The sequence below is a fragment of the Homo sapiens genome, chromosome 20 (assembly GCF_000001405.40).
Source record: "Homo sapiens chromosome 20, GRCh38.p14 Primary Assembly".
Lineage (NCBI taxonomy): Eukaryota > Metazoa > Chordata > Mammalia > Primates > Hominidae > Homo > Homo sapiens.
Window position 1 is genome coordinate 23,543,181 of NC_000020.11, and position 25,565 is coordinate 23,568,745.

General features: G+C 45.5%; 1 protein-coding gene and 1 pseudogene across 1 annotated transcript; both read right to left on the minus strand.

Annotated features, from left to right (window-relative positions):
- On the minus strand, positions 5,356-5,727 carry CST9LP1 (cystatin 9-like pseudogene 1; annotated as a pseudogene).
- On the minus strand, positions 21,552-25,304 carry CST9L (cystatin 9 like). The gene is made up of 3 exons (NM_080610.3): positions 25,031-25,304; positions 22,794-22,907; positions 21,552-21,857 (listed from the first exon to the last, which is right to left on the minus strand). The coding sequence occupies exons 1-3, from the start codon at positions 25,268-25,270 to the stop codon at positions 21,768-21,770; spliced, it is 444 nt and encodes a 147-aa protein (NP_542177.1). The 5' UTR covers positions 25,271-25,304; the 3' UTR covers positions 21,552-21,767.
- Positions 25,305-25,565: the final 261 nt, after the last annotated feature.

Consider the following 25,565-nt stretch of genomic DNA (forward strand, 5'->3'; position numbering starts at 1 on the left):
TGAAGGGCAGGCTGGAGTGCCAGTGGGTAATACCCTTGAGAGGAGCCCTCAGCCAATGATAGAATTTGGAGGATAAACATCCTGGCCTTTTATCCCCTGGGATATAACGCCAAGTTGTGTCTACCCAGTCACTGAGGAGTGTCCTGCAAGACTGAGCCCTAGCTATCCATATTGCTAATCTCACTATCCGTGCTGCTTCTGCCCCTTACTATTTCCACTTTTCAACTGCCTTTCTGGAATCATTTCTAAATAAGCCACTTGTACTTGAATTTTTTGTCTCCAAGTCAGCTTCTGGAGGAGCCAACTTGATAGTGGAACCCAGATCTACTGTAAATGGCACCCTGAGACCCCCAGGGGCTTGCCTGGCTGAGATCAGAAATCAGGATACCCTTTACCTTGACAACGGAAAAACCAAATTCTGCCAAAATATTTAAAGAGGTTTATTCTGAGCCATATGAGTGACCAAGAAAGGGAAACACAGTCTCAAGAGGTCCTGAGAAAGTGTGGCTGAGGTGGTCCGGTTACAGGTTAGTTTGAAGCATGTCATGGAGCCAGGAGTTGCAGGTAAAATTATAAATCAATACATGGAAGGTATATATTGGTTTGGTCCCAAAAGGTGGGACATCTCAAGGCATTGGCTTACAAGTTTTAGGTGGGTTTAGGGATTCTTTAGTTTGAAATTGGTAGAAAAAGTTAAGCTTTGTCTAAAACATGGAGTCAGTAGAAAGGAATGCTAAGGGGCTCTACTATCTGTCAGGTGATGCCATGCCAGAGTCAGGTTGGAAAACAAGTCACAATGTACTGGGTCAGAAAGGACCTTTTTGATGAAATTTTATGGTTTGCAAGGCATGATTCCTCAGGTCCTTAAACAGGAATTTCAGAAATAAAGAAAAAAAGGTAAGAGGTCAGTCCTCAACCTGCACTCTCTAACATCTGCCAGCAGTTGAGCTCTTGGGTGGCGGGCAGGTGAAGTGGCGTTCTTCATGGCCCCGCACAACCCTGGGCCCCTTTCTTTCCCATGTGCTGGCAGGGTTGTGGGGACACTGTCAGAGCAGTTCTTGTTCCATTCTCTCCCTGCCTCAGGAATGGGATCCCTATGCTACTAGCTGCAGCACCTGAGGACACATCTCTCTCATCTACCCTCGCCTTCATCCCCAAGCTCCGTGGGTATGCAACCTGTCCATCTGGGGGACTTGGTCTCCCTTGCTTCTTGGCCTGAGCTGGCCAGCCCTATGTGGTCTCATGAGCAGCCCATGGAGGAAGGTGTTCTTTGCTGAGCCCTGACAGTGTGATTGAACATTGGAGGGACCTGGGTCTTCACATGTCCCGGGCTGCTTGTTTCCATCATACTCATACCCCATGTTGTCTTAGGGCATACCAAACCCTACTGCCCACATCTAAGGTCAGTTTTGTTAATGTGATCTGTGCATGGGTTCAGGTTTAGCTCTTCAAAACCATCTGGCCTCTGTTGACCCACTGAGTCAGAGTCAGGATGAAGAATTAAGATCAAGACAGTTTCACTGACTCATGGAATTTTTGAGTTTATTGACTAACAGCAATATTTTTATATGAGCATGAAAGGAAATGGAATGTGTGGACATAGAGGCTCCTGAGACACCTCTAAATTGTCTCCTTCTCTACCAAGGCCGTGTTAGCCTTGGCCACACCAGGAAGGACACAGACATATATCAAAGAGGCTTCATGCAGTGTAGCTTGCCCTTCCACCTTCTACCACGTGAGGACACAGCAGGGAGGCCCTCACAAGATGCTGGCACCTTGGTCCTGGGCTTCCCAACCTCTAGAGCTGTGAAAAATAAATTTCTGTTTCCTGTAAATTAACCAGCCTGTGTTATTCTGTTATAGCAGCACAAACAGAAGAGGACAGTTCCTTTCCTGGGCTCAGCAGGGGCCAGGGAAGAACCAGAACTCCAACTCACAGGAGGTATGTGGACATGAGGGACTCTGGGTCTTGGGACCTGAAGTGGAGATTTGGAGTGAGTGGGAGTTGTCCTGAGACCACATACAGGGCCAGGACTGACAGCTGAGATGTTTCCTTGTGTATGTATCCCGGCAGTTCCCTGCCCTCCCCAGGCTCCACCCCATCTTCCCTTCCTCTGCCTCAAGGAGAGAGGTTTGGGGAGTCTGCAAAAACCTCACATTTTCCTCATCACTTTGTGTTCATTATTATGGTCAATCTCCCCAAGGCTGTGTCCCAGCCCTGACCCCCTGAGAAAAATGAGGAAAGTATCCACATGTCCTCCAGCAGATGGGAAAGTGGCCACAAGGTAGAATAAAGTAGTGTATATGTAGCATATTTTGGAACTAATTTATACTTAGTGTTTTCTTCTACTGCCACTTTTGACTTCAGCTGTAACCATTTGAGGACAGCCAAGCAGAGGTTGCCATCTTTATATAAATGACTCAGGGACAGCAGATGACAGATTAGGAGCTGAGGGGTGCAGGGTTAAATAAGAACTCACATTTCTGGGGAAGGAGGAAGCTAGTGACACTACACTACAATCTGTGCCCCTTTTCCTTCCTGGGGTTGGGGTCCAGGGATGCTACTGACCAGATGTTCCCAGCATGTCTCTGGCCTTAGCCTCTGGCACAAAATTTGCTCAGGGGCCCACCTCATGGCTACACTCAACATCTATGAACCCAGTTTCCTGATTCTTCACTGCACAAATTCCCGAAGGAGGAGAAGTATAGCTGTCTCCAGGAGCAAGTGCAGACAGGCAAGGCAAGCTAGGAGAGGTCTTTCCAAAGGAACAGGGCCTGCAATGCGACTCCTGTCCTCTAATTAGGCCTGTGCACCTGGGTCATGTCATGCATCATGAGTCTGGAAATACAATAGAAATCAACACATGTCCCAGAAATTGTGGATGTCCATTTCTTAGGGATGCAGAAAACTGTTAAAGACCCATACATGTAGTCTGAGTCAGGCAGGAATTAGTGCATCCTCCCAGGAGCCAGTGCCTTAGAGTGGGCTCCTCTCCCCTTGCTCCATGAAGGACGGCTGTGCTCCAAAAGGGTCCTGAGCCAGGACACCCCATCACCTCAGTGAGCTCACTCCCCATGAGACCCTGTCCTGGGAGCTGTCTCAGAAATGGTTCTCAAATGGAATGAGTAGGGTGGATTCTTTGGATCCGCAGGAGGCACTGTGGATAAAGCGCCTTCTCTGAGCTTCCTTCTGCTGATGGAGTCAGGGTCAAGAGAAGGACCAAGGGTGGGAGCAGACAGGGGAGGTGGTGGGAGGGTCTCAAAGGAAAATCTGTTCAAGTCTGGAACAAGGCAGTGCAGGGCTGTGTGGGTTCCAGAGACCCACGCACCAGATGGGACAAAGTGCAGCAGCTGTGTCTACCTCAGTGCTGGCAGGCCGCAGGGAGGTCTCCGGGCCTGGCTCCCCACTCTGCCTTGCCTGAATGCCCATGATCTAGGGACCACCCTCCCAGCACTTCTATGGAGGGTACGTCCCAAGACGATGGTCCAAACGCACCACAGGTCTGTGTTAGGTCCCCCCAGGCTGACCCTGAAACGCAGACTGGTGGGTGCAGGTAGTTTATTTGGAGATGATCCCAGGAGGCACATGTGAGAAAGGGAGACAGAGAAGGGGAAACACAATGTGTCTGTTATCGATGGGTTACACTGGGGCCGGGGGTGTTTATTCTGCTGGGGAGCTCTGAGAACCATGTGACACACACTCTGAATCGGGTGCCAGGAGGCTGGGAGACTGGGACATTCACCTGCCTCACTTCTGAAGATGGAGCGTGGCTCTCAGACTTGACCTTAGGAGTTGGCAACCATGGCCCGAGGACCAAATGCAGCCCAGTCTGGTTGTCTCCATGTGTAAACAAAGTCTTGTTGGGACAGGACTGCTCTTATTTGTTTATGCATTGACTATGGCTGCTTTCAACTTACAAAGGCTGTGCTGGGTAGCTGAGAAAGTGACTAAATGGCCTACAAGATCAAAATAGTTACTCCTTAAATCTTTACAGAAAATACATGCTGAAGCCTGATCTGGGAGATGTGGACAGGGTGTCCATAGCTGCTGGCTATTCTCAGCTAACACACTAGGTATACATGCACCCTGAGCATTAATGCCAATGTCACATTTGTTATGTGGGATCCCGAGTCCCTGTCCTGCTCCGTGTGCACATCTGATACCCTGGGAGGCCACCCTCACTGCCCCTCTGCAACCTGCAAGGGGCCCTGAGATAGCAGCTCAGACGCACCTTAGCTGTGCCTCTGGAAGTGGCTCAGGAGGCCCAATAAGGGAGAAAAACTTACCCCTGAGAGGCCAGGAGGCTGCCCTGCTGAGAATAACTCCATCAACTGCCCAAGCCCCTTCGTCCAGAATCATGGCACACAAAGCTTCTTAAAATGCTAATTGTTAAGATGTATACTACATGATGAACTTAGACAATGAAGAATTTCTAAAATACCTGAGCATGAACTCCTAACACATGGAAAGTAAGAACACACAAGCACAGAGCTGCTCAGGCACTGAAGGGCCATGTTGAGGAACTGCCGACATGCTGGAAAGGAGAGGACAGCAGGTGGCCAGGCCCGTGGCTAGGACCCACTCAGGAATGCCCGCCTGAGCACGTCTTGTTCCAGAGGTCAAACCGTGTCCTCCAGGGCTCTATTCCAATGGTGAAGAAGCAGGTGCAGGTCTGAGGGAGCAAGCACAGGAAGGGACAGTGTGTGGGGGCTTGGGATGCAGAAGCTTGTGGCTTCTGCTATCAACACAGGTTCCATCTCAATCTTGCCCATTCCCAGGGCTGGGCTCTGGACCCCAAGTGTGGCCCTCCAGCCTGAGTTCTGGGCTGTTCCAGACTTTCAGGGTGATCTGTGGCTCCCTCCTGACCAAGGAACACCTGTAGTAGCACCCTCCTCCCTAGCCAGCAGCCTCCAGGGGAAACCCAGGCTGTCTAGTGTCTTTCATCCTCCAAGAACAGCATGGCACACTCCATTCCAGAGGGAGCTGCTCTCAGATTTAAACAAGTACTTAACCTATTAACTAATCCTCTGATAAGGGGATGGAGTAATGCTAGATGTGTTGTGCACAGTGTCAGGGTTCATTATGTCCTTGTCCCCAGAGCAGGTACTGCAGCTCAGCAGGAGCCAGGACAGGACCAGGGAGGGAGGGCAGTGGGGTCCCTCCTCAGCCTCCACCTGCCTCAGGCTCTGGATTAGGGGAGGGGGACCCTGAGAACTGCACACTCAGAGAGAGGTGATGTCGGATCCCCACCAGGCTCTTTCTTCAAAAGGCAGAGGAAGGCTGGGGAGGAAGACCAGAGAGGAAAGAGTCTCTACTCAGGCCTAGGAGACTAGGACCCTAGGGGGCAAGAGCAGTCTGAAGGCCATGTGCCCTGGGTACAAGCAGCTGTAGTGGCGTGACATGGCAGAGTCAGGAAACTCAAACTGGCCAGGAGACTGCAAGTGGACCCCTGGCTGCCTGCCCCTCTGTGCTCGCCACTAAGGCACAAGCAAGGTAGCCTGGTAGAGGCTGCTGCAGGCTCACTCCTCTAAGTCTCTTTGTCAGCTGTACCTGTGTCCGCACCACACCCCATGCGGCATCCACAGCTGTATCCAGGAGGGAAGCTGGTGTCTTGTCTTACATTGTTCAGCTCTGGGCTCTCTTGAAAAGGGCAGTTGTCAATGTCATCTTCAAATTTCCCACACATGGTTCTGCCCAGTTGCAGATTCATGGAGAATGTCATCTTATCATAACCCTGTTGAATAAAAAAGATTAAAGTGGACAGACTCTTTGAGTTGCTCATAGGTAACTCCTTGTGAAAATGCGACCTTGTAGGAAGAGGCTGCAACACTCTCCTCCACTAGGGAGCTCGCGCATGGGCCTGGCATCAGGTCACTGGAGGTAAAACCCAGGAGACCTTCTCTAGACTGAGGAGTTAAGAGCAAACAGCAAATATGTGTGGTGTGTCCTGGGACAGACACAGGCTGTCAAACCCTATTAATGCATCCTGTATCTCCAGCTTCACCTCCCTGTCTCCCATGATGAGACCCGGCTTCACTCAGCAGGCATGTGAGCCTGCAGCTGCATTTTCAGAAGACATGTGCTGCATGCTCGGGAAGGTGTTAGCTCTCCATCAGTTTTCAGGGTAACCTCAGCCCTGGGGCAAGGGGAGCCTCATCTAGAGTGTGTTGTCCAACCTTCCACCTGACCTCCAGCAAGAGGAATGCAAGAATGCTACCCAGTGCTCCCACTACACACAGGGACACACCCTTGGGACAACGGCTTTAAGAAACACCGTCTGCCCTATTGCAAAGTGCACTCTGAGGTTCTCCTTGCTCTCCTTCCCACTCCATTCTATGTCATTCCACTCCATAGACTCCCTCCCCATCCAGCCAGGACCTTGCACAGAGTCTTTCCAGAGCTTAAGCTCTGTGCGGCACTGGGGTCCCTCTACCCTTCTTTCAGGTTCTTGGTGCCGACAGAGGAAGAGCAATGCTCCTTCTCCCTCTAAACCATACGTTCTCCACTAGGAGGGCATTTTAATTGTTTGTGCCTGCAGCCCAGATGAATGGCACATTCCTGAATCATTTAATGATTCCATTAAAAGGAGAACATTTTAGGATTAAGGACCATGGACTGTGGAAGAGTGTAACACAACATTCAACTCATTAAGTGTAGATGCAGGGAGGAGCCCAGAGCAGGTGGAAATCAGAGAAGAACTGACTTCACAGCGGCCTCTCAGGGCCGATGGTGCTTCTTTTTTACTTCTGAATTATCAGCTCTCTTTGTCTCTCTGTCTCTCTGTCTCTTTCTGTCTATTTGTCTCTGTCTCTCTCTTCCCTTTCTTTTACTCTGATTGTCTCTTTTCCTAATTATCTCTTTTTTAATTTCTTTGAAATGTTTCTCAGTTTCTGTCTGTGGACGTTTTTTTGTGTGACCCATTTCCTCACCTGATGCATCATTTTCTCAGTTTTCCTTATTTTGAGGTCATTCTTCAGTTAAGTGATGCCATAACAATCATGGAGGTTGAATACTATATCTAGCGTTGAGTAGATCTGGACTCAAAAAAATTATAATGTGTATCTTTCATAAAGACAAAAAGCAAATTTCTGAGGTTGTATTTTATACAAGTTTAGACTACAAATGGTGAACCAGGAGTCCTGGTTAAGCCCTGCCCCACACGCTGCCACCCCTGCCCATCACTCAGCAGCCTGTGCTGGACACTAGTGCAGAAAAGGATGTGCTCATCAACCTGCTCCTTCCAGGAAGCCAGGACAGGCACCAGCTTGTAGGCATACCAGTCCTTGCTCTGCTTGTTGAATGTGTACACGGCAAACTCCAGGGTGGGAGGGAGATAAACAGCAATTTGTTTTTGGTCATTCCACTCCTCTTCCTCTTGGAAACGCCAAGCATAGGTAACCAGGAACTGGAAGCTGAAGAGAAGCAGCAGTGGCGCACAGGACAGAGCCCTGCTCGGCGGCAGACTCCACATGGCGCAGGGCACAGGAAGCACTCCTAACCTCCAGCCTTCCCAGCCTGGACTCCCACAGGAGCCTACTGCACACAGTTCTGGCCCTTAAACTCTTGAGCTCAGGTGGAAACTCCTCCCTCCAGGCCTCATCTCTGGCATTATAATCTGTCCCTCCCAAATGTGGCTTCGCCTCCTCCAGACAAAGCTGTTTCAATCATCTCTTGTTCAGGGAGAAGTAACAGCAACCATGGGGGTGGGTTAGAAAGATAAGGGACCCCAGTGGGCAAGAGCAGGGCATGAGGTCCAGCCACCACTGCTCCCTAGTGCCTCAGTGGGCTAGAGGAGAGCACCCACTTCCTCGGGTGTCCCAGGGTCAGTCCCTGAAATAAGAATAGAAGTACAAGAGGTGTGAGTGGAAGGTGATCCCTGGACATGCCAGTGGGGTGGGGAAACAAAACCAGATGGGTCAAGGACTAAAAGGAGGAGCTGCCAGGAGTAAAAGTGCTGTGAGTGAACAGAAGGCATGGCTGCATGGGGACTCATAGGAAGGCTCCACAGCACCTGCCTAAGTATCAGCAACCTGATGCTCTGGGGCCCTGGGGCTGAGGGTGAAGACTGCTCTTGGGCATCCTTCATGGCTGCTTTAAAGCTTAGGACCTGCTGCACTGGCACAGCACCCTCCCGACTAAGAATGTGAGAAAGATTAGTACAGGTACTTGCAGCTGGATTCAGCCACTGGAGATACAAGTTTGGCTAAGTTGGGGGATGGTCCTAGGAACCCCACACTGCTGGAAGTCAGGGATAGAGGAGGGGGCTTGGGACAGAAACAATGCCATGCATTCAGCACCAGGTCACTTTCTCCTGAGCATAGCTGGACATAGATGTGGCCTGTGCTGAGCTCTGACCTTGGATGTGGTGGCCATGAAGGACAATGTGCCCAAGGTGAGGCTACTCCCATGAGCTGGTGCATACCCTTCCTTCCCAGGCCTGCAGAATGGAGGGAGCATCCAGGTGGGACTCTGAGTCTGTGGATGGTACTCACAGGAGTGGGTCTCAGCAGAGTTTCCTCCAGCACAGTCCTCACCCTCTGGCTGACCCTCTCAGCCCTAAGTCATGAGTGACAAATGCCATTTCATGGTTCCACCCCCTGAGATCCTTGTTGTCCCTTCCAGCAGCTGGCAGAACTTAATGAATTCACCTGAGTTCTCCTGGAGATGCAGAGAGTTGGGGGTAGGGGTGGAAGGGTGGTCCTAGCCTTGGAGACCTGAGACCCAGTCCAGCTGTGCCAGGAGCTGATTCTGCACCTTCACCCTTCCCTGAGCTTTCTGGGCCTCCCTTGTCCACTCCTCAGATGGGCATAGCATTGTCCATCCAGCCTCCAGAGGCTTGTTGCTTACTGGACAAATTGCCCTCATGGAGTCAAAGTGCTGTGATAATCACAAAGCTGTATGCTTAGATTGGCAATTGTTCTGCACTGGCAATTCCTTTCCTTATCTCTGCTGAGGGTACATGGGGACCTTGCACATTTGACATTTCTCCCCAGTGTTCAGGCCTGGACCACAGCCTGGGGAAGGAATGAAGGCAGGGCTCAGCACTGCCACTGAGGCTGACAACAAAGTGCAGACTCTGGGAGGTATTCTCACCACTGTGATGACTAAATGCACCTGCATATCTCTCCAGAGGGGAGCACAGATGAAGGAGGCCAAGGCACAGGAAATTCCTGCAGAAAGGGGCTCAGAGGGAGGGCGTGCAGGGGCCCTGGAGACAGGCACAGTCTGGCTTCCTTCCCGTGCTCTCTCCAGAGCCCCACCTGGGTCCTCCCTCGCACTCTCCTCACCCACCTGGAGCACCCTACCCATCTGCGCCATGTACTGTGCATCTCCTTGATCTTCATATAGAGTCTATTTTTCTTTCTGAGTCACAGAATCATCATTTGTTCAAGTCAGATTTCTCTCCATTGTGGGAACAGGTGAATAAACTCACCCCCGCTCCCCAACAAGAGTATCGTGGCCAAGTACAGGAATCTGTAGTTTACATTTACAGGCCTTTGTCCAATTCTTTCACATACATCACTAGTCAAAGAGCAAGGAAAAGAATCTTCTTATTGCAGTAGTGACTTGGTACATGATTTGACCTTGGGCTGAGAGCATGCACAGCAATGTAAATGCAGGTTATATGATCATAAAGAAAAAAATCCATCAAGAAGCCATAATAGTGATGAATCTGCATGCAAATACAACAGAACAAATGACAATGTTGCAGGGAATATGGCACTTCCACAACCATGTTGGGAGGGTTTAATATGTCTCCTGGAAGCTGGCTTACAGAAGCCTACATGTTATAAAGGATACAGCAGAATTGACAGATACAGTTAACTAGTCTACTTCAGTAGTTGCCTGTAAATTTCTTTACCTAATATAAAGTATGTTTAAATTGTAGCAAAATAAACATAACATTTACAATCTTAACAATTTTAAGTGTACAGTTCACTATTGTTTAAATATATTTACGTTGCTGTGCATAGAATATAATTTTTAAAGGAATGATCTGTTAATTATGAAATTAAAGTGTTAATTGTATTACAGGGATATTGGCAAAACAACACTTAAGGCATAGCTGGTGGGGTTTGGGTGCACTGTACTTACTGAGGATGATGTAATTGGCTGCTCCCTAATGTGTAAGCTCTCACTCCAACATCCCCTGAAGGTCTCTCCCACTGCCTGGCTCTCATGGGTCGCCAGGCTCTTTCTTCACAAGAAACCTGATTCCTTGATGGCAGGAGCTTTGAGTCTTCATCGTGGGCCTCTGTGCTGTCTCTGTGCTGAACATTGACAGGGGAGAGGGCTGGCATTAGCAGGGCAGCCCCATCCCATGGTGCTCTCCAGCTCCCATGGAGTTCTAGAACAGAACAAGTTCTGTGGAGGATGGTGCCAGGATGGGTGGCTTGAGGGAATCTGGAGGCAGGAGCCCCCAGCCAAGCAGTCTGTACCTCCCTGAGGGCAGCCTCACAGCCCAGAGATGTGCCACCATCTACTGGCCTAGGGTCTGAGCTGGTTATGAAAATGACCCCCACAAAGTTGTTTGGAAGATGAGTGGTGGCTGGGTGCAGTGGCTCACACCTATAATTCCAGCACTTTGGGAGGCCCACGGGGGAGGGTAGCTTGAGCTCAGGAGCTCAAGACCAGCATGGACAACATTAAAAAAAACCCATTGCTACAAAATAGACAAAAATTAACTGCGCATGCTGGTGTGTACCTGTAGTACCAGCTATTTGGGAGGCTCAGGCAGGAGGATCGCTAGACCCCAAGAGATGGAGATGGAGGCTGCAGTGAGCCATGATCACACCAGTGCACTCCAGCCTGGGCAAAAGAGTGAGACCCTGTCTCAAAAAAAAAAAAAAAAAAAAAAGATGAGTGGTTACTAATACACATTGCCCCCCTCCTTTTTTTTTTGTAATTTAACATTCTATTTTAGATTCAGGAGGGTACATGTACAGGTTTGTTACATGGGTATATTGTGTGATGATGAGGTTTGAGGTATGATTGATCCTATCACCCAGGTAGTGAGCATAGTACCCAATAGTTAATTTTTTTAACCCTCACCCCCCTCCCTCCCCACCCTACTAGTTTCTAGTATTTATCTTTAGCTCCCACCTATAAGTGAGAATATACTGTATGTGGTTTTCTGTTTCTGTATTAATTCACTTAGCATAATGGCCACTAGCTTCATCCATGTTCCTGCAAGGGATATAATTTTGTTCTTTTTTTATGGCTGTGTAGTATTCCATGGTGTGTATGTACCACGTTTTCTTTACCAAATACACTGCTGATGGGCAATTTGGTTTATTCCATGTCTTTGCTATGGTAAATAGTGCTGCAATGAACAGAGAGTGTATGTGTCTTCTTGGTAGAATGATTTATTTTCCTTTGGGTGTATATCCAGTAATGGGATTGCTGGGTGGAATGGTCATTCTATTTTTAGTTCTTTGAGAAATCTCCAGTTGCTCTCCACAGTGGCTGAACTAATTTACATTTCCACCAACAGTGTGTAAGTGTTCCCTTTCTCTGCAGCTTCACCAACATCTGTTATTTGTTGACTTTTAAATATTAATCATAGCCAATCTGACCAGTGTGAGATAGTATCTCATTTTGTTTTCTTTTTTAACTTTTATTTTAGGTTCAGGGGTACATGGACAGGTTTGTTTTATAGCTAATTTGCCTGTTAAGGGGTTTGGTGTACAGACTGTTTCATCACGAAAGTAATAAGCACAGTACCTGATAGGTATTTTTTTTATCCTCACTCTTCCCTGGCCTTCCACCCTCCACCCTCAACTAGGCCCTTATTCCTTTCTTTGTGTTGATGTGTACTCAGTTCTCACTTATAGGGGAGAACATGTAGTATTTGGTTTTCTGTGTCTGTGTTAGTTTGCTTAGGATAATGGCCTCCAGCTCCATCCATGTTGCTACAAAGGACATGATCTTATTCTTTTTTATGGCTGGGTAGTATTATTTACTTTATATGTACCATATTGTCTTTATCCAGTCTACTGTTCATGGACATTTAGGTTGATTCCCTGTCTTTGCTATTGTAAATAGTGTTGTGATGAACATACACGTGCATATATCTTTATGGTTTATATTCCTTTGTCTGTATACCCAATAATAAGGTTTCTGGGTTGAATGGTAATTCTGCTTTGAGTTCTTTGAGAATTCACCAAATTGCTTTCCACAATGGCTGAACTAATTTACATCCCTACCGGCAGTGTATAAGTGCTCTCTTTTCTCTACAACCTTGCCAGGATCTGTTTTGTTTTTTTTTTACTTTTTGGTAATAGCCATTCTGACTGGTGTGAGATGGTATCTCATTGTGGTTTTGATTTGCATTTCTCTAATGATTAGAGATGCTGAGCATTTTTTCATATGCTTGTTGGCCACATGTATGTCTTCTTTAGATAAGTGTCTCTTCATGGCCTTTGCCCACTTTTTAATGGGGTTATGCATTTTTTTCTTGTAAATTTGTTTAAGTTCCTTATAGATTTTGGCTATTAGACCTTTGTCCAATGCATAGTTTGCAAAAATTTTCTCCCATTCTGTAGGCTGTGTGTTTACTCTGTTGATAGTTTCTTTTGTGGGGCAGAAGCCCTTCAGTTTAATTAGATCCGATTTGTCAATTTTTGCTTTTGTTGCCTATGCTTTTGTGTCTTCATCATGAAATCTTTGCTAGTTCCTATGTCCAGAATGGTATTGCCGACATTGTCTTTCAGGGTTTTTATAGTTTTGAGTTTTACATGTAAGTCTTTAATACATCTTGAGTTGATTTTTGTATATGGTGTAAGGAAGGGGTCCAGATTCAATCTTCCGCATATGGCTAACTAGTTATCCCAACACCTTTTATTGAATAGGGGGTCCTTTTTCCATTACTTGTTTTTTTTCAGGTTTGTTGAAGATCAGATGACTGGAGGTCACACACCTGTGTGACCCTATTTCTGCGCTCTCTATTCTGTTCCAATGGTCTATGTGTCTGTCCTTGTACTAGTACTATGCTGTTTTGATTACTGTAGCCCTGTAGCATAGTTTAACATTGGGTAACATGATGACTCCAGCTTTGTTCTTTTTGCTTAAAATTGCCTTGGCTATTCAGGCTCTGTTTTGGTTTCATATTAATTTTAAAATAGTTTTTTCTAGTGCTGAGAATTATGTCTTTGGTAGTTTGTCGGGAATAGCATTAAATCTGTAAATTACTTTGGGCAGTTCGGCCATTTTATTAATATTGATTCTTCCTATTCATGAGCATGGAATATTTTTCCATTTGTTTGGGTCATCTCTCATTTCTTTGAGAATTGTTTTGTAGTTCTCATTGTAGAGATCTACAATGTAGATCCTAGCTGTATTCCTAGGTATTTTATTCTTTTTATGGCAATTGTGAATGGGATTGTGTTCCTGATTTGGCTCCTGGCTTAGCTCTTGTTGGTGTATAGAAATGCTAGTGATTTTTGTACATTGATTTTGTATCCTGAAACTTTGCTAAAGTTGTTTATCAGCTGAAGGAGCTTTTGGACTATGGGATTGTCTAGATATAAAATCATGTCATCTGCAAACAGGGATGGTTTGCCTTCCTCTCTTCCTATTTGGATGCCCTTTATTTCTTTCTCTTGCCTGATTGCTCTGGCCAGAACTTCCCACACTATGTTGAATAGGAGTGAGAGAGAGGGAATCCTTGTCTTATGCTGGTTTTCAAGGGGAATGCTTCCAGCTTTTGCCCATTCGGTATGATGTTGGCTGTGGGTTTGTCATATATTGCTTTTATTATCTTAAGCTATGTTCCTTCAATCCTATTTTATTGAGAGTTTTTAACGTGAATGGATGTTGGGTTCTATTGAAAGCCTCTTTTGCATATATTGAGATAATCATTTGGGTTTATATATTTTTTGTTCTGTTTATGTGATGAATTACATCCACCACTTTGTGTATGTTGAATCAAACTTGCATCCCAGGGATAAAGCCTACTTAAGTGTGATGGACTAGCTTTTTGATGTACTGCCAGATTTGGTTTACTAGTATTTTGTTGGGGATTTTTGCATCTATGTTCATCAAAGATATTGGCCTGAAGTTTTCCTTTTTTGTTGGGTTTCTTCCAGGTTTTGTTATCAGAATGATGCTGGACTCATAGAATGAGTTAGGGAGGAGGCTCTCTTCTTCAATGTTTTGGAATAGTTTCGGTGGAAATGGTACCAGCTCTTCTTTATACATCTGGTAGAATTCAGCTGTGAATCTGTTTGGTCCCAGGCTTTTCCTCATTGGTCGGCTTTCTTTACTGACTCAAGTTTGGAACTTGTTATTGGTCTGTTCAGGGATTCAATTTCTTCCTGGTTTGATATTGGGAGGTTGTCTGTTTCCAGGAATTTATTCATTTCTTCTAGGTTTTCTAGTTTGTGTACATAGAGGTGTTTGTAGTAGTCTTGGAGGGCTTTTTGTATTCCTGTGGAGTTGTAGGTAATGTCCTCTTTGTCATTTCTGATTGTGTAATTCACATCTCAATTTCATTCAGTTTAGCTCTGATTTTGGTTATTTTTTGTTTTCTGCTAGCTTTGGGATTGGTTTGCTCTTGTTTTTCTAGTTCCTCTAGGTGTGATGTTAGCTTGTTAATTTGACATCTTTCTAACTTTTTGATTGGGATGTTTAGTGCTATAAACTTTCCTCTTAACACTGCTTTAGCTGTGTCCCAGAGATTCTAGTATGTTGTATCTTTGTTCTCACTAGTTTCAAAGAATTTCTTGACTTCTGCCTTAATTTCATTGTTTACCCAAAAGTCATTCAGGAGCAGGTTGGTTAATTTTCATCTAATTGTATGGTTTTGAGTGATCTTAGTATTGATTTCTATTTTTATTGCACTGTGGTTTGAGAGTGTGGTTGGTATGATTTTGGTTTTTTCAATATGTTGAGAATTGTTTTATGGCAATTTTGTGGTCAATTTTAGAGTATATCCATGTGCAGATGAGAAAAATGTATGTTCTGGTTTTTTGGGGTGGAGAATTCTGCAGATATCTGTTAGGTCTATTTGGTTGACAGTTGAGTTCAGGTCCTGAATATCTTTATTAGTTTTCTGCCTTGATGATCTGTATAATACTGTCAAATGGATTTTGAAGTCTCCCACTATCATTGTGTGGTTATGTAAGTCTTTTTGTATGTCTCTAATAACTTGTCTTATGAATTTGGGTGCTCCTGTGTTGGGTGCATATATATTTAGGATAGTTAGGTCTTCTTGTTGAATTTAATCTTTTAACATGATGTAATGCCCTTCTTTGTTTTTTTTTGAATGTTGCTGCTTTAAAGTCTGTTTTGTCTGAAATTAGACTAGTAACCCCTCCTTTCTTCTGATTTCTGTTTGCTTGATAGATTTTTCTCCAACCCTTTATTTTCAGCCTATTGGTGTTATTGCATGTGAGATAGGTCTCTAGAAGACAGCATACCATTGGGTATTGCTTTTTTATCCAATTTGCTACTCTGTGCCTTTATAATTGGGGCATTTAGCCTGTTGACATTCAAGGTTAATATTTATATGTGTGGATGTGATCCTGCAATTATGTTGTTAGCTGTTTATCATGCAGACTTGATTGTGTATTTGCTTTACAGTGTCAATGGCCTATGTACTTAGGTGTGTTTTTGTGGTGTCTGGTTTTTCTTTTTCTGGCATCTTGAGGTGCAATATTAGGATGTTTATTTGAGTTTTTTTTCTTATTTGATATAGACTTTTGTTGCTATAAATTTCCTTCTTAGAACCACTTTTTGCTGCATTCTATAAGTTTTGGTATGTTGTGTTTTTATTTTTGTTTGTCTCAAGATAATTTCAAATTTTCCTTTTAATTTATTAATTTACCCATTGATTATTCAGAAGCACGTCTTTAAATTTTCACATTATTTGTAAATTTAAAAAAAATCTTTCTATTATTGATTTGTAGATTCATACCATTGTGGTCAGAAAGGACACTTGATATGATTTCATTCTTCTTAAATTTGAAAATTTTTTTGCCTATTGTAAAATGTATCTGGAGATTGTTGTTTGTGCAATTGAAAGTAACGTATATTCCACTTCTGGTGGCTGGAATGTTTTGTACATATCCGTGAGGTCATTTGGTCCAGGGAATAGTTAAATTATAATGTTTCTTTATTGTTGTCTGTCTGGATAATCTGCTCATAGTGGGAAGTAGAATACAGAAGTTCCCTACTCTTATTGTTTTGCAGTCTACTTCTCCCTTTAAATCTATTAACTCTTGAATTATATGTTTAGGTGCTCAGATAGATGTCTGGTGTATTTGCATTTATAATTCTTATATACTCCTAATGAATCAGTTCTTTTATTATAAGGATCTTCTTTGTCTTATTTAAGTATTTTTGACTTAAAGTTTATTTTATCTGATATGGTATAGGTATCTCTGCTCTCTTTTGATTTGTTTGCATAGAATATCTTTTTTCATCCCTTTACTTTCAACCTATTCATACACTTAAGGTAAAATGAATCTCTTGTAAGCAGCATAGACATGGATCTTATTTGTTTATCCATTCAGCCATTCCATGTCTTTTGATTAAAGATTATAATCTATTCATATTCAAGGTAACCATTGATATGTAAGGACTTACTACTGCCCTTTTGATAATTGTTTTCTGGCTGTTATGTAGATTTTTATCATTCTTCCTCTCTTGTTTTCTTCCTTTGTGATTAGATGATTTTATGTAGTAGTACGCTTTGAATTTCTTTTCTTTTTTTTTTTTTTTTTTTGAGATAGAGTCTCGCTCTGTCGCCCAGGCTGGAATGCAGTGGCGTGATCTCAGCTCACTGCAAGCTCTGCCTCCCGGGTTCATGCCATTCTCCTGCCTCAGCCTCCCAAGTAGCTGGGACTACAGGTGCCCGCCACCATGCCTGGCTAATTTTTTGTATTTTTAGTAGAGACAGGGTTTCACCGTGTTAGCCAGGATGGTCTCGATTTCCTGACCTCGTGATCTGTCTGCCTTGGCCTCCCAAAGTGCTGGGATTACAGGCATGAGCCATCGTGCCTGGCTTGAATTTTTACTTCTAATATTTTCTTTATCTACTATAGGTTTTTGCTTTCGGTACCATGAGGCTTACACAAAATATGTTATAGTTAAAACAGGCTATGCTGGACCAACAATAACTTAACTTCAATTACACTGAAAAACTCTACACTCTTCTCCCAACATTTTATCATTTTGATGTCACAGTTTACATCTTTTAATATGTATATCCCATAACACAAGGTTCCCCAACCCCTGGACTGGAGACTGGTACTGGTCCGTGGCCTTTTAGGAACCAGGCTACACAGCAGGAGGTGAGCAGTGGCTGAGCAAGCATTACTACCTGAGCTTTGCCTTCTGTAAGGTCAGCAGTGGCATTAGATTCTCATAGGAGTGTGAACTGCACGTGAGAGGGATCTAGGTTACATGCTCCTTATGAGAATCTAACTAATGCCTGGTGAGCTGGGGTGGAACAAATTCCTACCAAAACCATCCCGTACCCTCTACCCCCCAGTCCATGGAAAAATTGTCTCCTATGAAACAGGTCCCTGGTGCCAAAAAGTTGGGGACCACTGCCTTAACAAATCATTGTGGCTACTATTATTTCAAAGAGTTTTGTCCTAAAATCTTCATACAGAAGATATAAGAGATTTGCAAATTACCGTTATAGTATTAGAGTATTCTGAATGTCAGTATGTACTTAGTTTCACTAGGGAGATTTTTATTCCCTAATGTTCTTCAGCATTCCTTTCTCTTTCTTTCTTTCTTTCTTTCTTTCTTTCTTTCTTTCTTTCTTTCCTTCTTTCCTTCCTTCCTTCCTTCCTTCCTTCCTTCCTTCCTTCCTTCCTTCCTTCCTTCCTTCTTTCCTTCTTTCCTTCTTTCCTTCTTTCCTTCTTTCCTTCTTTCCTTCTTTCCTTCTTTCCTTCTTTCCTTCTTTCTTTCTTTCTTTCTTTCTTTCTTTCTTTCTTTCTTTCTTTCTTTCTTTCTTCTTTCTTTCTTTTTCTTTTACAGAGTCTTACTCTTGTTGCCCAGGCTGTAGTGCAGTGGTGTGATCTCGGCTCACTGCAACCTCCACCTCTGCCTCCTGCATTCAAGAAATTCTCCTGCCTCAGCCTCCAGAGTAGCTGGGATTACAGGCACCTGCCAACACGCCAAGTTAATTTTTGTATTTCAGTACTATGTTGGCCAGGCTGGTCTCAAACTCCTGACCTCATGATCCTCCCACCTCGCCCTCCCAAAATGCTGGGATTACAGGTGTGAGCCACCATGCCAGGCCAGCATTTCTTTTAAAGCAGGTCTAGTAGTGATGAACTGCCACAGTTTAATTTGTCTGGGAAAATTCTTATTTGTTCTTCATTTCTGAATGACAGATTTGTTGGGTATAGTATCATCGGTTTGCAATTAAAAAAATTATTTCAGTTTATTTAATGTATCATTCAGATTTGTCCTGGCTTTTCAGGTCTCTGCTGAGAAATCAGAGGATAATCTTATAAAGATTCTCTTGTATGTGACAAGTTGATATTTTCTTGCTGCTTTCAAAATTCTCTTTGCCTTTGGCAGTTGAAAATTGTATTATAATGCATTGGTAAAAGTCACATTATATTTAATCTATTTAGGGTTATTTGGGCTTCCTGAATCTGTATGTTAATTTATAGCTCCAGATTTGAAAAATTTTCTGCCATTATTTACTTAAAGATGTTTCCTGCCTCTTCTTTTTCTGTATTCCTTCTGGGACACCTGTATTGCATTCATTGGTTTGCTTGATAGTTTTTTATAATTCCTGTAGAATTTATTTACTCTTTTTGTGCGTTTTGTTTTGTTTCTCTCACAGGGTAATTTCAAATGACCTGGTCTTAATCTCACTGATCCTTTCTTCTGGTTAATCAAGTCTACTGTTGAAGTTATTTGAATAAATTTTTCAGTTTAGTTCATTGTGTCTTTAGCTCCAGAATTTGTGTGATTCTTTTTTGTGGTTTCTCTCTTTTTTGATCTTATAATTTTGTCTGTGTTCACTTTTACTGATTTTATTTATGTATATTTTGATATTCTCTTGTAGCTCACTGACCATTGAAATATAATTACTTTGAATTTTTTGTCAGACATTTGTAAATCTCCATTTTTTTAGGGTAACTTACTGGTGCTTTATTTTTATGGTAGTGTCATGTTTCCCTGATTGTTTGTAATCCTTATGGCCATGTGTAGGTGACTGTGCATTTCAAGTAGGCACTTGTTCCAATATAGACTGACTTTGACAGGAAAAGCCCTTCACCAATCATCCTGTCCAGAATTCTGGGCAGGCATCTGGTATGGTCCATGGTAAGCTTGTTGCTGGAGTTCTTGGGCAGGCTCACCTGGTGCTTGGTTCTATAGGGTTGGGCCTGCAGCCTGGGTTCACCAGGATTGACCTGTTGATTGGGTCTGCAGTGATGGTTCTATAGCCTTTTTCCATGTGGTTGGGCAGGAAGTTGAATTAACTGGGCAAGCCTGAATCCTGGCTGACTTGGCACTGGGGAAGTCCTGAGTCTGTGTCTGCAGTGTCCAGCCAGGTGCTGGGATGGGCGTGGTGTCTGTGATGGAACTGGAGCCTGAGTGTACAGATTCTAGCCTAGCCCTGGGGAAATCCAAGAGCCAGGGTCCATGGCTATAGGTCTGGGTCCTCAGTTTTCAGAAGCTGTCCTGGAGACTGAGTCCACAGGGGTGGTTCTTGAGCCTTGGTCCACAGGGAAAGCTTGTGCAGGAGTCTACTGGTGTGGTTCTGGACCCAGGGTACACTGAAACATGTCTGGATCTTGGGTCCACTGGAGCCTGGTGCTCTGGGGACCAGCCTGGGTCCTGGGGCAGTGTAATGCAGGGGAGTCTTATAACCTGGGTCTGCAAGGTCTGGTCTGGTGCATAGGGCTACAGAAGCCAGGCTGAAGGCTGGATGTGTGCATGCTGACCTGGAGGCTAGATTCATGAGGACTGGCTTGGAGCTTGGGACACAGGGCCTGGTTCAGATCTGTTGTCATCCTGAAGGCTGAATGTGTGGGTACAGGCCTGGGTCCTGGGACTGTGTGGGCTGGCCTGGAACCTGGGTGTGCAAGGGAAATCCTAGAACCTGGGTTTGCAGAGGCTGGACTGGCAGTGGAAACTTTTGAGATAGGCCTGATCTTTGGGTTTACTGGAGCACAGGATCACAGGGGATGGTCTTGAGTATATGCAGGCTTGTATGCTCAGTCTTCTGGTGCTGACCTGAATTCAAGGGTTTTAGAAACTGGACAGGTGCTGGGTTAGACCTGAAGGCTGGCTCTGAGGAGCCAGCCTGGAGCCTGTATCTGTAGGAGCTAGCCTAGTGCTGGGATTGGCCTGAAATCTGGGACCACAATAGCTGTCTTTGTGTTGGGGTGGGGCTGTAGCCTTGGACCATGGTGCCAGCCTGAAGGCTGGGGTCCTGTGGGACTGCCTGGCACTGGTTTTACTGTGGTAGGTGCAGTGTTGAGGTCTGAGGCAAAGTTCAATACTCCCTCTCCTTCCTTCAAGTAGGGGATGTTTCTGTCCACAGTGTATAGCCTGGAGTGAGAGGAAAGGTGATGTGGGTTGTATAAAACTCTCCTTACTGCACTCTTCAATGTTTTAGTCTTATTTCTGTGCTACCCAAGTGTTGCAATCTGACACTTGGTTTGATGAGCTCCTGTGAGGATATTTTATGTATAGTTAGGTTCAAATTGAGGTATTTGAGAAGGGATGAATGTGGAAAGTTTCTATTCTGCCACCTTATTGACATCACTCCAAGGATTTTTATTATAATAAACATTGTGAAAATGTCCTATGTAATTTAACTTGAAAAGTGGGCAATTTAATTCCTATATTCCTGAAGGTTTTCATTCTACCTAGGCTGGTTCAGAAGTTAAGCAGTTAGTTAATCCTCTGCTAAGTCTGAAGCCCTCTCACTCCCTTCCTACCTCTCCCATGCATCTGCACATCCCATACTGGGAAATCCCTCTCCTCTGGGAGAAAGTATCTTGGTCTTGATTTGTTTCTTAAACAAATCCTATACCTTCATATCTTATATAACTTCCATCCTACTTGATGCTGTTCTTTCATGTTTCTTATGTTGTTATCCAGGTTCATGAACCCCTGGGGATTTGCGAGAATGCAGACTTATTTTCCAAAGGCGGGGAGGCCCTGAGGTTCAACATTTCTAAGAGATTTTCCAAAGATGCTGCTGCCTCACACATCAGGACCATTTTACGAGGGTGAGCCTAGAAGTCTTTCTTCTGCCCACCAACATGCTGAGGATCAGGAAAGGCATGTGAGCCACTCTTCAAGAGAAGAGGCCACAAGACCAGGGGAGCCCAACACCATGTCTGAGCTTATCCAGGCACATGAGGTGCCTGAGAGGAGATAGTCATTGCACCTCTGGCCACGTGGGTTATTGGCCGTGATCCCTGAGACAGCAGCTCAGATGTACCACTTGTGCCACCTGGAGCTGGCTCAGGAGTCCATCTACCCAGATCCTACTTGTCTGCCCTGGTGAGAATAACTCCATCAAACACCCAGCCCCTTTTATCGAGAACTACAGCACACAAAGTTTCTTAAAATGCTGATGTTTAATGATCTACACTACATGATTAGGCTCAAGATGTGTGGATTTTCTAAAACACTGATCTGAGATCTCAAACACATGCAAAATAGGATAACAAACAAGTCCAAAGCTGCTCAGCCACTGAAGAGTCCTCAGGAGAGTAGTGCTGATGTCCACGGAATGTGGGAGCAGCACATGGACAAGCCTGTGAGTGGGTTTCACTCAGTGGAATCCCTCCAAGCAGGTCTTGTTCAGGAGGCTGAACTGAGTCATCCAGGGCCTGGTGCTGATGGTGAAGAAGCAGGTGAAAGTCTGAGAGAACAAGCACAGGAAGGGACAGTGGGTGAGGGAGGCTCAGGAAGCTCATGGCTCAAGCTCTGAACAATGGCTTCCTCTCCACATTGCCCTTTCCCAGGTCAAGCAGTGGGAAGACGGGGCCTCTGGCTATCATGTGCTGCCCCCAAGCCTGAGTCCTGGGCTGTTCTGGAGATTTGAGCTGAACTGCAACTCTTTTCTGACCCAGGGGCGCCTGTGCAATGTTCCCCACTCCCTAGCAGTGGCCCTCAGGGGAACCCCGGGCTGTCCTGGTGTGATCCCTGCACCCAAGAGCAGCAGGAGAATGCATTGTCCCAGTGGAAGCAGTTCCCAGATTTAAGCAATCAGCTACCTATTTTTTAATATTACAATAAGGGTGTTGATTAAGCATAGGAAGAGTTTTCCCAGAGCCAGGCTTTACTTGGAGCTTGTCCCCTAGAGCAGGTGCTGCAGCTCAGCTCAGGGCCTGGGAGGGAGGGTAGTGGGGCTCCTTCTCAGCCTCTACCACTTTTGGGTCTAGGGGAGGGTAAGGAAACCCTGAGAACTGCATCCACAGACAGAGGTGATGTCAGATCCCAGGTTCTTCCAGAAGGCAGGGGAGGAAGACCAGAGAGGGGACCACTTCTTACTGGACCCAGGAGACTGGGACCCCAGGGGGAAAGAGCAGTCTGAAGGCCATGTGCCCTGGGTGCAGGCAGCTGCAGTGGCATGACAGGGCAGAGTTGATAAACTCAGATTGGCCAGGAGCCTGCAAGTGGACCCCTAGCTGCCTGCCCCTCTGCGCTCCCCACTAAGGCACAAGCAGGGCAGCCTGGTAGAGGCTGCTGCAGGCTCACTCCTCTAAGTCTCTTTGTCAGTTGCACCTGTGCCCACACCACACCCCATGTGGCATCCACAGCTGTATCCAGGAGGGAAGCTGGTGTCCTGTCTTACATTGTTCAGCTCTGTGCTTTCTTGGAAATGGCAGTTGTCAATGTCGTCTTCAAATTTCCCACACCTAGTTCTCCCCAGCAGTAGCTCCATTGAGAATACAGTCTTGGACTCCACCTATTGCACACAGAGAGATTAATGTGAACACACCCTCCTTGTTGCCCCTAAGTAGCTGCTGGTGAAGATGTCATTTGTGTAGGAGAAGTCCCAACATTCTCCTCCATTAGGGAGCTTGCCCATGGGCCTGGCATCAGGAGATCTTCTTTAGATTGGGCAGTTAAGAACAAAAAGCGGATGGGCATGGTGGCCCCAGGGCAGACACCCATGAATGTATCCCTATTTCCAGATGCACTTCCCACTCTCCCATGGTGAGACCCCAGTTTCACTCTCAGTCAGTGTCTGAACCTGCAGCTGCATTTCCAGAGGATGGCGCTATGTGCCTGGGGAGGGGTTTGGCTCTCCAAGAGCTTTCAGGGTAACCTCAGCCCTGGGACAGAGGGAGCCTCATCTAGGGCATGTTGTCAAACCTTCCACCTGACCTGAGGAAAAAAAAAATGCAAGAATGCCACCCAGCACTCCCACTACACACAGGCATACATCCTTGGGACAATGGCTTCAAGAAACACCATCTGGGGCCGGGTGTGGTGGCTCACACCTGTAATCCCAGCACTTTTGGAGGCTGGGGTGGGTGAATAATGAGGTCGGGAGTTCGAGACCAGCCTGGCCAACATGGTGAAAACCCATCTCTACTAAAAATACAAAAGTTAGCTGGGCATGGTGGCAGGTGCTTGTAATCCCAGCTACTCGGGAGGGAGGCTGAGGCAGGAGAATTGTTTGAACCCGGGAGGCAGAGGTTGCAGGGAGCTGAGATTGTGCCATTGCACTCCAGCCTGGTTGACAGGGTGAGACTCCATATCAAAAGAAAGAAAGAAAGAAAGAAACACCATCTGCCCTATTGCAAAGTGCACCTTGATCTTCTCACTCCTTTCAGTTTCACTTCATTCCATCTCCTTTCTCCCTATCCGTCCATTTCCCCAACTCCAAAACTGACTCTGGAATTGTCACATCCAGGAACCCACGTGGCAGGCTCCAGCCCAGAGAGCAGGGGTCAGAGAACCAGCCAGGGCCTTGCACAGGGTCTTTCCAGAGGCTGAAGCTTGGTGCAGGGTTGGGGTCCTTTTGCTCTTCTTGCAAGGTTTCAGTAATGAGGTAGGAAGAGCATTTTTGCCTCTCTACCCAACTAGAAGTCCTCAACTTAGCTGGGTGCAGTGGCTCATGCCTGTAATCCCAGCACTTTGGGAGGCCGAGGTGGGCAGATCATGAGGTCAGGAGTTCAAGACCAGCCTGGCCAACATAGTGAAACCCTGTCTCTACTAAAAATACAAAAAATTAACCAGGCATCTGGCGGGTGCCTGTAATCCCAGTTATTTGGGAGGCTGAGGCAGGAGAATCACTTGAACCTGGGAGGCGGATCTTGCAGTGAGCGGAGATGACGCCACTGTACTCTAGCCTGGGTGACAGAGCAAGATTCCATCTCAAAAAAAAAAAAAAAAAAAAGTCCTCAACTTGGTGACTATTTTCATTGTTCATGCCTACAGCACAGATGAACTGTGCATTCCTGATTGCATTCTGTAGTGACTTCATTAAAAGGAGAACATTTAGGATTAAGACCTGTGGTCTGAGGAAGAGTGTGAAACAGTCTTCAGTTTATTAAGTGCAGACACACCAAGGAGCTCAGAGAAGTTGGAAATCAGCAAAGAGGAACTGACCACCCAGAGGTCTTTTGGGACTGGTGGGGGTTTCTTATTGCTCCTGAACCCTTACTGTTCTCTTTTTTAATTTTCATTTTTTAAATTATCTCTTTTTTATTACATTTTTTGGAAGTATTTCTCAATTTCTCTCTATTCACATTTTCTGTTCAGCCCTTTTCCTTATTCCGTATCTTCATTTTCTTGGTAGTCCTCATTTTGAAGTCATTCTTCAGTTAAATAATGTCATAAAAAGATGGAGATTAAACAATATGTTTTTCATGAGAGTTGATTAGGATCAAATTATTTGAAATTTCTAACTTAGATGTTTTCAAAATCAAAAACTAACTAAACTACCTTGTATTTTCTTAAGTATGGACTACAACTGGTGAACAAGACTCTTCAATAAGACCCCCTGTCCCCACCCCACTCCCATTTTTCACTGAGCAGCACATGCCAGATGCCAGGGCAGGAGGGTACGTGGTCACCAACCTGCTCCTTCCAGGAATTCAAGATGTGCCCCAGTCTGTAGGCATAGTAGTCCTTGCTCTGTTGGTTGAATGTGTGGACAGCAAACTCCACTGTGGCAGGGAGGTAACGAGCCATGACATTGTGTTCATCACAGTCCCTTTGCTCGTGGAAATGCCAGGCATAGATCAGCAGGATCTGGGAGCCTAAGAGAAGCAGCAGCAGCGCCCAGGACAGACCTCCCTTCCACGGCAGGCCCAGCATGGTGCTGACTGTAGGCACCGCTGACTTTGCTCTTCCCAGCCCCCGTGCCCACAGGAGTTAATTGAGCACAGACCCAGCCCTTAATCTTATCTGCTCAGACAGCCCTGTGGGACAAACTTGTCTCACCCCACACTGGCAACAGGCACTCCTACAGGACAGGAAGGACAGGATCCTGGATTAAAGGGAGGCAGCTCTGGATGTGGAGTCACTCATCTGCCATCCTTCTGCCCTATACTCTCTAGGCCAGCACAAGCCACAGGCAGGAGGGGAGCTACCCTCTGCCACTAGCTTTGAA

What these genes read in the sequence shown, in the direction of transcription:
- CST9L (NM_080610.3), bottom strand. Translation starts at nt 25,270, where the DNA reads ATGCTGGGCCTGCCGTGGAAGGGAGGTCTGTCCTGGGCGCTGCTGCTG. An exon ending in TGAATTCCTGGAAGGAGCAG is followed by an intron (nt 22,908 to 25,030) that starts GTTGGTGACCAC and finishes TGTGTGCAATAG; the next exon opens with GTGGAGTCCAAGACTGTATT. An exon ending in AAAGCACAGAGCTGAACAAT is followed by an intron (nt 21,858 to 22,793) that starts GTAAGACAGGAC and finishes TTGTTCTCTCAG; the next exon opens with ACTTTCACCTGCTTCTTCAC.